This window comes from Homo sapiens, chromosome X (genome assembly GCF_000001405.40).
Source record: "Homo sapiens chromosome X, GRCh38.p14 Primary Assembly".
NCBI lineage: Eukaryota > Metazoa > Chordata > Mammalia > Primates > Hominidae > Homo > Homo sapiens.
In genome coordinates this window covers 47,169,930-47,182,136 of record NC_000023.11, presented here as the reverse complement: position 1 = coordinate 47,182,136, position 12,207 = coordinate 47,169,930, and the positions used below count along the sequence as shown (strand labels likewise).

At 57.6% G+C, this 12,207-nt stretch overlaps 1 protein-coding gene across 14 annotated transcripts in view, besides 1 other annotated feature; it reads right to left on the bottom strand.

Moving 5' to 3' along the window:
- RBM10 (RNA binding motif protein 10) overlaps positions 1–12,207 on the bottom strand; it is a 41,593-nt gene that overhangs the window by 4,677 nt on the left and 24,709 nt on the right. For 2 of the 14 annotated variants that reach the window (NM_001204468.2, NM_005676.5), the window contains exons 4-16: positions 10,879–11,109; positions 8,940–9,009; positions 7,045–7,118; positions 5,551–5,637; positions 2,974–3,034; positions 2,642–2,818; positions 2,097–2,257; positions 1,828–1,925; positions 1,631–1,718; positions 736–922; positions 491–630; positions 271–388; positions 95–186 (exon numbers count right to left, since the gene is read on the bottom strand). In NM_001204468.2, coding sequence (NP_001191397.1) covers positions 95–186; positions 271–388; positions 491–630; positions 736–922; positions 1,631–1,718; positions 1,828–1,925; positions 2,097–2,257; positions 2,642–2,818; positions 2,974–3,034; positions 5,551–5,637; positions 7,045–7,118; positions 8,940–9,009; positions 10,879–11,109 — 1,584 coding nt within the window. Of the gene's footprint in view, positions 1–94; positions 187–270; positions 389–490; positions 631–735; positions 923–1,630; positions 1,719–1,827; positions 1,926–2,096; positions 2,258–2,355; positions 2,592–2,641; positions 2,819–2,973; positions 3,035–5,550; positions 5,638–7,044; positions 7,119–8,939; positions 9,010–10,878; positions 11,110–12,207 lie in introns of those variants that run through there. The other 12 variants (NM_001440861.1, NM_001204467.2, NM_001440862.1 and 9 more) reach the window with 7 other exon arrangements.
- Positions 2,414–3,613: an enhancer, noted in NCBI's record as "CDK7 strongly-dependent group 2 enhancer chrX:47037923-47039122 (GRCh37/hg19 assembly coordinates)". NCBI's record gives its function as "activates an origin of replication core promoter dependent on BRD2, BRD4, P300/CBP, MED14 and CDK7 cofactors, with strong dependence on CDK7, by STARR-seq in HCT116 cells {active_cell/tissue: HCT116}" and the evidence as "EXISTENCE:reporter gene assay evidence [ECO:0000049][PMID:35650434]".

The following is a 12,207-nucleotide window of genomic DNA, read 5'->3' as shown; positions in this document are numbered from 1 at the left end:
ATGTGAGGGAAGACCTTGTGAAGGGAACCTGCAGGGCTAGCTGTTCCTGACGCGACCTGACCCGATCCCATCCCTCCCTGGGCTGCCCTATTACCTGGGAGTTGGGGTCATAGTAGAGGCCGGTCTGGGGGTCATAGTAGTAGCCGGAGGTCTCATCGTACTGGTAGGTAGAGACGTCGGGAACAGCTAGGGGGTGAGGGGAACGGGGTCACACTATTCCCTGCTTTATTAAGAACTCCCCACCCCTACCCACAGGCTGTGGCTACTCACGGTACTGGCTGTAGGATTCCTGGGCAGTGGGGCTGGTAGCCGGTGGGAGAGCAGAACTAGGATGGGTAGGGCTCTGGAGCTCAGATTTGAGCACAGCGGGTGACATGATGGTATACGACTGGTCATGGGGCCAGACAGGAGAACAGGGCTCAGTGTCTGCCCATGCCACCCCTGCCGCCTGCCTGCCTCCCCGGGATACATACCCACAGGGCTCACTCACCTGGCTGTTGGCAGCAGTGCCCTGGCTACTGCTCGCCTCGGCTGATTGTTGGTAGATGCCAGGAGCAGCACCAGGCTGGGCGCGAGAGAAAGCCTGCATCGACACAGAGTCGGCCCCAGGCTCTAGGGAGGCCTCGGGACCTGTAAGGAGGGACAGGGCAGGGACAATGCCTGTGAATAATGGGGCCGGGGACTTTATGCCTGCTGGCCCCCACCACAGCTGCAGAGAGAGATGCTGGGGCTCACCTGCTCCAGTGGGATCCCCTTTGGTTCCAGTGATGCCAGGGCCCTTGGTGCCCTTGAGGTAGCCATGGGCATAGAGGGAAGACTCTGTGCCCTGGCTGTTGCCATAGCCCTCATCCTGTTGGTAGTAGCTGTAGTCGACCGGCGGCTCCTCGGAGGTGGCCCAGGTACCCTCCCCACCTTGGGAGGCCTGAAGGGCAGGTGGGAGGGGTTCATTAGAACAGGAAGGTGTGGGGGTGGGGGGTGGGGAACCTGCTAGAAGCATCTGTCCCACACGTGGGGCTAGTATTTCTACCTGACAGACAAAGCATGCAGCCTTAAGACAAGTGGAAAGCGAGGGTTGCCTGGCCACAAGAGAACAAATAGGCCAGTGGCAAACACAAGACAGAAAAACAGATGAACGCCAAAATGTTCCAGGGCTGATTCTGCTGATTCTGCTGTGTGTGGCGTGTGTGTTGGGTGTCAGGCCAAGGAAGACACCATCTTCTTACTTCTTTATTCTCTTCTCCCAATTTTCTCTCAACCACTTATACGTTATTTTTATTCAGGAACATATGATACGTGTATATCATATATGTATATATTACATATAAGGATATGTGTATATCATACCTATTCAGGACAATAAAAACCCCACCAAACAGCACAGAATGCCAGGCACAATGGCGTCGTACATGAGCGCATGGGAGGCAATTGGGAAGAAAGCTGCGGTGATGATGAAGGGGAATGTCCCAGGGGGTCTAGAGAGCCAGGAGCAAGGTAGAATAGCCATGCCAGCTACTGGGAGAGGGTTTTGCATCCATGGATAGCAAGCCAGCCTTCCTGCTTCAGAGAGGGTGCAGGAGGGTTGAGAAAGCCCAGGTCTCAGGACGCTGGGAGGCACAAGGGGTCTGAGTACCTGTGAGATGGCCCACTGGGCCGCAGCAATGGCAGTGCTGGCCACAGAGGCAGCACTGATGCGACTGCCTTCATTGGAGGCCATGTCCCTGAGGAGGATGTTAGAGACTGGGAGTGAGATAGGAGGCCCCAAGCGGTAGGGGGGAGTGGGAGGGTGGGGAGGGGAAGGGTGGGAAGGCACACAGGTGGGGCCCTGACCTCTTAGAACCCTTGGCAAACTCAACATTGATGGTCTTGCCGTCGATAGTGAGTGGTGGGTGCAGGGCCTGCAGGATCTGCAGCAGCTGGGCTGCCTCCTGTGGGAGGAGGGGAGGCAGGGACAGAAGGGTCAGGCCCGGGGAGGCCCCCGGCTCCATTGCCCGATTTCCAGGCTGGCAGCCGCGGTGGGAGGCTGGGGAAAAGGACCCTCGTCTCCACCCCGGGGGCCGGGACCCTGGCTGCCCGGCCCCCAACTGTGCCGCCCTCACCACGATGGTGGAGAGCTGGATGAAGGCAAAGCCGCGGTTCAGTTGGGTCTGCTTGTCCTTTATGACGCGCACGTTGGAGGAGGACAGCACCGCGTAGGGTGCCAGGGCCCCCAGGATGGAATCCATGGTGCTGTGTGGGTTCAGGTTGCGCAAAATGATGGCTGTGGGAAGGGGCCCAATGTTAGAGGACACCCCTGGCACTCTTGCCAGCCCTGCCCTTCAATGCCCCCACTGCTCCCTTTCCTCTGCCCCCACTCACTCCGTGCCTTTGCAACTGCCGCTTCCCTCACTGCTTCCTCCAGGATCAACTCTGCTTGGCGGTCCAGGTGCCAGCCTGGCTGCCTGTCTGCTGAGAACCTTCCCGACACACCCCCAAAGTCAGGTGGGATGTTGCCACTCCCCCTGTTCTCCCTACATCAAATGTCTATCCCCGCACCAAGTGGAGATTCCATGAGGATGAGGTCCTGCTCACTGCCATTTCTCTGGTCTTGGTGAGCCCAGCCCGACACCCTAGGGCACAGAGGAAGAAGGAACAACTGACTCACTGTCATTGGCGTTCTCTGAGCTTGGCTCCGAGCCCTGTGACAGGGCTTGGGAGGCCAGGACTCCCTGGGCCTGGTAGGGCTGCGGCAGGGGAAGCAGGCCCTGGCTCAGCTCCCGGCCACCCAGTGGCAGTGTCTGCTGATCCAGCCTCGTGCCGAGGGGCAGCTTCTGCTCTGCCTCTGTCAGGGGCAGTGGGAGACAGGCTGGTGATAAGGGGAAGGCTCCACGACTGGTCACCCTCCTCCCTATACCAAGCCCTGAGCACAGACCCCTCACCCTTCCCTTCTCCCCAACCGCTCCGCCCTGGAGAGCACGAGAGGTAGGTGGGCCTCACCTGACTTGGGCACGCCACATTTGAAGCACTTCTCTCGGCGTTTGAAGTTCTGGACGCCACACTGTGAGGCACAGGCCAGGCCGTCAGAGGGAGCAGGGATTTCCCACTGCACCCTCCAAACTTGGATGAAGAGATCTCCCAGGGACCCCGCAGTGCCCCAGGAAGGAAAGCCCCTAGGCAATGGTGGCAGGTGCCTTCTGAACCTTCTGATGTTGTTCTCAGTACTGTGCATCTTCCCTTTCCAGACTCTCATTTGTCCTCTGTGCCAACCCACTCAGCTCAGGAATAAACAACTCCCCCATTTGGTACAACAACTCCCTCCTCTCCTTCCTCTGCCTTCTTAAGGCCACCAACTCCCAGGACTGTTCCCCGCCTCAGGTATTCAATCCCTTTATTAGGTTCCTCTCCCTGAAACTTGCTCCTCTATTCAGAAACCTTTCAGTGTTTCAGCCCTAGAAGTCAGTAGCCAGACCCGCACCCCTCCTCTTAGCTCTAGGACTGGGTTGGATCCTGCTACGCTTGAGAAATTTTCCTTGAATGTTCCAGCATCTGGAGACCCAGCTTCTACCACACTCCATCTCTGTTCCAGACTCAGGTACTAAGCACCACTCCTGGGCCAGGCCCTGCTGCACATGGCCAGAACATGGTCTCTGCCCTCATGGCCTAATAGCACAGGGGCAGATGCAGCATGAAGAGGGGCAGGTCGGTCTGCATGGACCATCCAGCAGGGGCTCGGGGAGGGAAATGGGCTGGGGGTGGGGTGCCATTTACTCGGCAGGGACAGTCCCTGCACAGAAGCAGGGAGGTTTGACCTGGGATGCCCAGAAGTTTCATTTTGTTAAGCCTTGCTGGGGAGGGATTGTTATCGGAGGGAACAATGGACTTTCCGAAACTGGTGTGGGAGAGTAAGGGGAGAAGCAAAAGCCAAGGCCGGGGAAGGAAGCCAGTTAGGTAATGGAGGATCTTATGCTTAAGCTGAGCTGGGGCTGGTTAAGCAGAGGAGGAGAGGCGTGGGTAGTCAGAGGTGGTTTTGAGGAATGTTCCAGGTGAGGGCGTGGGAGAAAGAGGACAAGAGGCCAGCATACCAGAGAGGGCTCCACAGTGAGTGGGTGAGAGCGTGACGATTGGCATGAGCAGCGGGAATGGCGAGGGAGGGAAGGTGGCGTTTCTGTGATGGAAGTGACAGGACCTGGTGGCCAACAGGATGCAGGGGAGGGGAAGGAGTTCAAGAGAATTCCCTGGTTTTGGGCTGGGCGTGGTGGCTCACGCCTGTAATCCCAGCACTTTGGGAGGCTGAGGCGTGAGGACTGCTTGAGCTCAGGAGTTCAAGACCAGCCTGGCAAACATGACGAAACCCTGTCTCTACCAAAAAAAATAAAAATAAAAAGGCAAAAATTAGTGGGTGTGGTGGCATGCGCCTGTGGTCCCAGCTACTCTGGAGGCTGATGGCTTGAGCGCTGGAGACAGAGGTTGCAGTGAGCCCAGATTGCTGCACTCCAGCCTGGGCGACAGAGCCAGATCCTGTCTCAAAAAAAAAAAAAAGAGAATTCCCTGGTTTTGAGGCTATCTGGAAACACAGGAAGGAGTTCCACTGTCACTTTGTCTTTATCTCTCCAGAAATGTTAAGCACCAATCCTCTGATGGGACTTTTTTTTTTAAAACAGATGCACCACTCTCCCTGACTAGGCAGAGTACTTCCTGGGGAGAGGGTTGGGGCCTCTACAAACTGTGGAATCACAATGCTGGCCCCAGGGCAGACCTGAAGCCACTGTGGCATCCAAGTCCCTGTGATCAGGAGCAAGGCACAGGGCACAGCTAAAGGTTCACCCATGGTTCCACCTCTCTGAGCCTCAGCTTCCCCTCAGGGAAGACAGAGGTGACTACAAAACCACAGCCTCCAGTTTCAGGTTTGACTTGGCCTGGTCAGAGTGGCCTTCAGGCTTGAGCTACCTGCTATGGGCTCTCAGAACGCTCTGTGCTTTTCTTTCATGATTACAGTTAACAATTCGACTGTGTTAAATGTGGGCCAGGCACTGTTCTGAGTGTTACTCTCTCATTAACACAGCTGAATCCTCCCAACCACCTTTTGGGAGAGGTGTCATTAATATTCACATTTTAGAGATGGGGAAAGTGAGGCAAAGAGAGGCTAAGCACCTTGGCCAAAATCAAGGCCGATCTGGGATAGTCTCATTTCAGCCAGTCTGGCTCTGAAGCCCACATTCTCCACACCACCACTTCAAGTCTACACTGTCACTAATTCATCATCCACGTATATATTTCCTTAAAGTCTACTGGAACTCCAGGCAAGACTGCATTTTAGGAGGACAGAGCCTGCACCAAGTGAACGCTCACTACACATTTGTATATGGCTGGCTAGGAATGGTGACTACTCAAGCTGAGCTAGCAAGGGATAGAGAATGAGAGAGAGAGAGAGAGAGAGAGAGAGAGACAGAGGGAGAGGAGAGATTGGGGGAGGGGGAGAGATGGAGGGAGAAAGAGCGGGAGAGGAAGGGAGAGATCGCCGCCACTGCTGTTGCTGTCTCTGTCCATGACAACTGCTGCCCACCGCCCCTGTACCTTATTGCACAGCCAGTCCTCATTGATCTTGGGCTTGGGGTCACTGTAGTGCATCGACACCTTCTGGCCCAGGATGTTGAGGGAGTGCTGCGGGAAAAAGCAGAGCACAGTGAGGTCCAGGCAGCAGTGCCCCACGCACCGTTTCAGCATAGGAGAAGAGAGTGAGCGAGCCCTTCAGCTGGATGGATGAGGGACAGGGAACGGAGGGAGGTCGGAGAGCGGATGGAGGGAAGAAGGGAGGTAGGGAGGGAAAGCGCCACAGCTCTCGGGCGCAGCTGTTTGCTGCTCTGCCGGGCACACGCACGCACACATGTGAACACACACCACCAGGCACACAGTGTTCGGCTGACCGACGCTTGCCGGACAGTGGGGAGAAACCCCCACTCGGCCCTGACACTGCCAGGCCACACCCAGGGCCAGGACTACACAGGCTACACTTGGGGGGTGAGGGGAGACAGGGAGGGGGAGGGAGAGGGGAGAAAAAGAGAAAGAGAGCGCAGGTGCGCTAGTGCTGGAGAAGGGGAAAAAGAAAGAGCCATTTCGAACAGATGGAAGTTTCTGCCATGAGGCCGTCTTCCCATGGATGGCTGGGTCCTGGGCCCATGGCACTAGCCTACCAACCCCGAGGAGACGGCCCCAGGGCTGCCTCTGCCGGGATCCCCCATTCTACCACCTCTGCCCCTTCCTCCCCTGAAACTGCTCTCCAGTGCCCTACACCAGGGATCTGGGCAGGGGTGGGTGACCAGGCAGATCTTTGGGTCTCGGAGGTCCCAAAGCTGCTGAGTTGGGATCCCGTGCCAGGCTTGGGGGACAGGCTCCCCCCAGGGCTGACTGTGCACAGGTCCTTGCCGAGAAGACAGAGCTGCCTGAGGTGGTGCCTCCTGCGAGTGTGGAGATGTGATAGGAAGGGTAGGGGCGGCGAAGTGAGGCCAGGGTGTCGATAAAACTATCATACTCGACGGGAACTTGAGATCAACAGAGCAGTGCTGTCCCCTTGCATGAAAATCAAAGGGCCAAATTCACATGCAGGGATGGGGCTGACAAAATGAGTCTTGCTAGTGACTGTGCCAATAGCTAAGCTCCTCACTGGCAGGACTTCCAGTGGTCCTGAGGGTGGAATGAGGTCCTGGCTCTGGCTAACCCCAGAGAGGGGTGCCCCCCCCACCAGCCCCGGGGGAGTGGGAAGCTAGGTGAAAGAACCCACCCTGGCAGCTCTTTCTCTGAACGCTCAGCTGGGAGAGGTGAAGGGGCAGCACTAGTGCCTGGTGGTAGGAAGGGGCCAGTGGTGAGTGTGGGCTCTGGATGAGAAGCCCAGTGGGGTAGCGAGAGATGGGAAGAGGAGATAGTGAGGGTCAGGAAGGGGAGAGAGGGGGCGGGGGGATGGGACACAGGGCCACAGGGCAGGGAACTGTGTCCATAAGAATCAGGCGATGGGGAGCGCTCGATTACAAAGTAGTATTTGTTTGGGGGGGGGTTCAAGTGCGGCAAAGCAACCTGATTGGCTTCCATCCATCGTGTAGCGTCCTGCAAGTGACTAAACTCGACGAAGGCGAAGCCCCGGCTCTGACCTGGAGACAGCATTCAGATACAGACGCAGTGGGTTAGTCAACAGCTTTGGACACACGGCGTTCCCGGGGGCGGGACCCGAGGGGAGAGGACGGGGGGCAGAGAGGGAAAGGGGAAGAGGAAAAAGGAAGAAAGAGAAAGAGGCAATCAGAGAGAGAAAGACTAGCGGGCGTGGGGGGCAAGGTAGATGGCCAGGTGGGGCAGGGAAGGTGGAGGGAGAAAAACAGAGGCCAGAGGTCGGTAGGGGGAGAGACACACACACCAACTGGGAAGAGAGAGATGGGGCTCGGGCAGACCTGCCCAGCCAGCCTGGGGTGACAGAGACGGAGAGAAGCAGCTGGGAGGGAAAGAATACGAGAGATCTGCCTCCAAAGAAGGAGGGAGGGGATGGTGGGCAGGCTGCTGGCTCCACACAAGCCACAATACGTAACTCCAGGGCGGGCCCAGCTCAAGGCCAGGGGTGCCCAGGAGGGGTCCTGTAACAGGTGTTGAATCACAGGAGCAAAAGAGAAGCTGGGCCAGGCTGCTCTGCGAGGCTAGGAAGGCTCTTGGCCCATTGGAAACCAGGGGCGGTTAAAGACACGACCTCATCTCAGCCTCACCGCAGCGCAGGGGAGGCGGGCCTCGCTAGGGAGCCACCTCAGGGCCACAGGGTGGAGACTACAGCCACAAACAGTCCAGGTTCCCCTGGACAAAAGGAGAATGGTGGCCAGGATTGGCCAGGAGGACCTTAGAGGTAAGAATCAATGGGTGCCTGGGAGAAGCGCCCAGGGCCATTGAGAAGGCCGCACCTGGAACACCTCCTTGTGGAGAGAGAGACCCAGAAGCTGTCCGTGTGTGGTGTAGTTGGGGTGATGCAGAGCAAGACCTACATGCAACCAAGATTCCAGGCTTGGGAAAGGGATTCAGGGTTGAGGCCTCAGGATAGCATGTCCTTTAGAGGCAGATACATGGGGAGGGCTTGGATGAGAGGGGCTTGGGGGGGCATGCTTAATGTTCAAAAGAATAACCGTTAGGATGCATAGGAGGATGGAATGAATAATATAGTTGGGGGGGGCAGAGAGAGAGAAAGAGAGAGAGGGAGAAAGAGAGAGAGAGAGAGAGAGAGAGAGAGAGAGAGAGAGAGAGAGATGGAGGTGTGGGGAGGAGAGACTGAGAGATGGAGAGAGAAGCCCAGGCAGAGTGAGGCCCCACTGTGCCTGCCTTGGGGAGCCTGGGCAGAGGTCCTGTAGAGACAACTCCCCCCACCACCACCCTGCTAACCTCAGGCCAGCTCCAAGCAGCCTGCAAGAGGGAGGGAGGGAGGGAACAGGCGAGGCCAGGAAGTCCTGGCTGTTCCTTGGGATGTGTCCTTGGATAAGAGCCATCCCCTGCTTCCCCCTTGGGACACACATGTGGGACCACCACGTCAGAGCTACTTTCTGGTCAGAGGCTGTTACCAAAAAATGTGGGGGAAAGTGAGGGGCAGAGGAAGGAGAAGAAAGGAGAGGGAAGGGAGTGTATGGGAGGGGGTTACCATCTCAGATACTCAGAGTCCCAGAGAGGAGGTGCCTGGGAGCCTGGCCCTGGCCCTGACCCCAGGGAGCACCCAGCTCAGCTCAGAGCTGCACCCCTGCCCCGACAGCCCCATTGAAGAGGCTTTTGGCTGGAGCTGTGAGGAGAGTGTGGGGAGTGGGAGAGAAGAGAGGGCACCCCCCACGCTGCCCATTCCCAGCTGTGGCAGGAAGGTGGTGGAGGGAGTGGGGGAGAAGGCAGAGGCAGGAGGGAGATTCGGAGGCTGAGGCTGGCCACTTGAAGGGGAGGGCACTAGAACAAAAGCTCACCTGAAGATTTGTTCCGCATCAGCCGAACCTCCCGTGCTTGCACGCCGTGCGACTGCAGCTGGCCACGGATCTATACGGGGAGATACAGAGTAGGGCAGGCTCAGCACAATGGGGCCGCTGGGTACCTGAGGCTGGCTGGAGGCCTCTGGATCCCGAGGGGTCATCGGTGATGTGCACACAGTCTCCTCCGCCTCTTTCGCAGCTTTTCCCTGAGTGACAACAGCCCCAGGCCCACACCAGTTCACAGTCTTGACTTTCAGCCCCAGACTTGCAGAAAGTGAATCAAATGAAGAAATGGGCACAGAGCAAGGTAAAGCATGGCAGCAGGACGACCCTCAGGGGCACAGAGAACAAGAGAGCAAGTGAGCCAGCCACTTAAGAACGGTGGGCAGGGTGATCTGACAAAGGGCTCGCTGGCAGCCACGAAGTAAGGAAACCTGGGATGCAATTCTTGCCCTTGGCAAGGGGATAACCCGCACCCCCGCCCCTGCCCTGCTGACCTGCAGCTTGCGTCAAAAGAGATCCATGACATAAATGTCAAACTGGGGAGGACAGGAGTCTGAGCAAATCCCAGCCATGTGCCCTAGACCATGACTGTAGCAATAACTTAGGGTGGAGACAAAAAGCAAAAAGATGTAGTCCTGGGGATTGCTTCCCAGATGGAGTAGGCCAGAGGGAAACTGCAGAGGCAATTCAGGATTTGGCCCAGGTGAGGCAGGGTCTCTAGGCCAGTGAGGTCTCTCACTGAGGACCAGGAGCCTATGCCAGCCATTCTTGGGAAGGAGTCTTCATGTCTCTGGGCCTCAGTTTCCCCACCAGGTTAAACAACAGACAGGACATTAGCCTTACACACACCCATACACAGGGTGAAAAGGAAAAACACACAGAAGAGCTTATCAGGACTCCAAACTCAGGGAAGGCTGAGGAAGCAGCAAAAAGTGGGCTCTAGGGTCCAGCTGCCCGGGTTCAGACTCCAGCTCTGCTCTGCCACTCACTGGCTATGAGACCTGGGGCAAGTCACATTCCCACTCAGGGCTTGGTTTCCTCATCCGAAGGATGGAATACAAAGAGTACCTTCCCTGCTGGGCTGCCATGGGGACTGAATCATACCTAACACATGGCCCACCCTGAGATACATTCTCAACAAATGTCAGCAACCAGCTACTGTCTGACCCTGAACAGGGCAGGTGGGCCAGACCTTAGAAACCCTCAAATACACAAGTGGGATTTTCTCTGTTACAAAATGAGCAGCTAGCAGATTTCAGAGGAGGGCTGATCAGAGAATTCATGGGGGTAGGGGGTGAGGGGCGGCGGAGTAGACTAAGAAGGACCAAGATCAGGACACTATTCTTGGAGGTTATTCTGGTAGGCCTCGTGGGGCTTCAGTGTGGCTGTCATGAGAAGTATGTATGAAAAGGAAACAGGAGGAAAGGGAGGCAGGCGTGGAGGCTGTTAGCAGCCACCCAAGGCTCTGAGGCCAGGCCAGGCTGCTGACAAAAAAGGATGGGGGAAAAAGAGAAGGAAATTTCAGAAAATCCCATCCCTCCCCCAATGGTTACAGGGCCCCAGTGTCATCTCTGCTACCAGCAATAGCCAGCACTGGCCCGGTGAGCGTCTGGCCCATGATGCACACATGCAAAATGGCTGGATGACCAGTGGAATGTGCAGGACTGCTCTTCTCCCGCCCATACCCACCACTACCAGACACCCATGGCCAATGTCCCTTGGCCAAGCCGGCCTCTCTGACACTCCTCCCTCCAGACCGGGGGGCCGATGGGACCTGCCCACAGAGGACGGATCAGTGCTGGGGGATAGGAGCTGGAGGGGGAGAAGGGATGAAAGGCGCTGAGGTTGCAGGTGAGGGAGGGGTGGGGAGAAGTTGAGGGCCCTGGAGGAGACCCAGCCTGGCCTCCTGCCCGGGGCCATGGGGGGCACGTACGTCATCCTCAGTGGCTGCCTGTGGCAGCATCCTCAGCATGACGATGTTACTGGCCTTCTCCTCCTCCTCCTCATCCTCCTCCTCCTCCTCCTCCTCCCCTTGCTCGGTCCGATAGTCCTGGTCCCGATAGTCGCCGTCTCGGGGGAAGCCTGGCGGGCCGGTGGGGCTGTGCCTGTGCCGCCGCCGCCGCCTACGCTGAGTCTCGGAGCCCGGGGAGGCCTCGTAGGAATCCTGGCCGACAGAATGAGATGAGTGACACCAGACGGGCAGTCAGTCTGGGCAGGCCTAGGAGCTGGCCGCTGGCTCTGTGAGGCAGGCAGGCTCTGAAAGCCAGGGATGTGCGGGCTCCGGCTAAAGGCTCAGGCAGGCAGGGTGGGCAGGCCCCGGCCTGCAATCTTTCTGGGACTGTAAATTCTCCATGGGGTCCTTTTGGGGGCTGCCTTCAGTGGGTGGGGAGAGGTAGGTGACAGTATTGGTGTGGGGGGAACTCCCAAAGGTAGCTGACAAGACACAGCTTAAACCTCCTTGGGGCAAGATGGCCTGGGGTCAGCACACCAGACCCCACCCTTGATTTTCCTCTCCTCTCTGGCCAGCTCAGGGGGTGTGCTCAATTGCTTCACTGTACCACCGAAGGCTGCATGTCTCCTACGGTTCCACCCTGCAACCAAGCTGGGGGCATAAGAACAGCTTCAGATCTCAGCCAGAGCCAGGCAGCAGGAGCTGGTGGAGGTGGTGTGAGGGCTGCAGACACTCCCTCCTCAGTCCCTGATCCTCAGCCTTGGCCAGTCCTCCACCACACACCACGCTCAAAACGGTATGGCTGTTGGGCTCTGGGCTGTTGCCCAATCCATCCATTCCAGGACTAAGCAGAGCAGGCCTGGGGCCAAAGCCCTCCCGCCCACAGTGGGGAAGCACCAGATAACTTGGTGCTCCATTCCCACCCTGGCCAGGGCCCAGTGCTCCTGGAGACGTCTGGGCACAGCTTGACAGCTGCCACTGGAGAAGCCTGGCAGTCCACCAAAGGGGTTTTTGCCCTGGACCCTCCAGAGGGCAGTGGGCAGCTCACAGACTGCCCCCCAGGGCTGGGCTTGCAAGAACTCCCTTCCCAGCCTGCTGGACAGGAGAGCTGCCTGCTCGCATGGACCAGGTCCCTGACTGCCCCTCCAACTGGGATTCCCCTAAGGCAAGCCTGTTTCTTCCCCTCGGGTGGGGGCTCCCTGATGGTGTAAACATCGCGCCTCATCCCGCAGGCTAGGGTGAACTACCCAACATGGCACTGGCTTCTCCAGAAGGGTCCTTCCCTTCTGTCTAGGGGCTCTATCACCACTG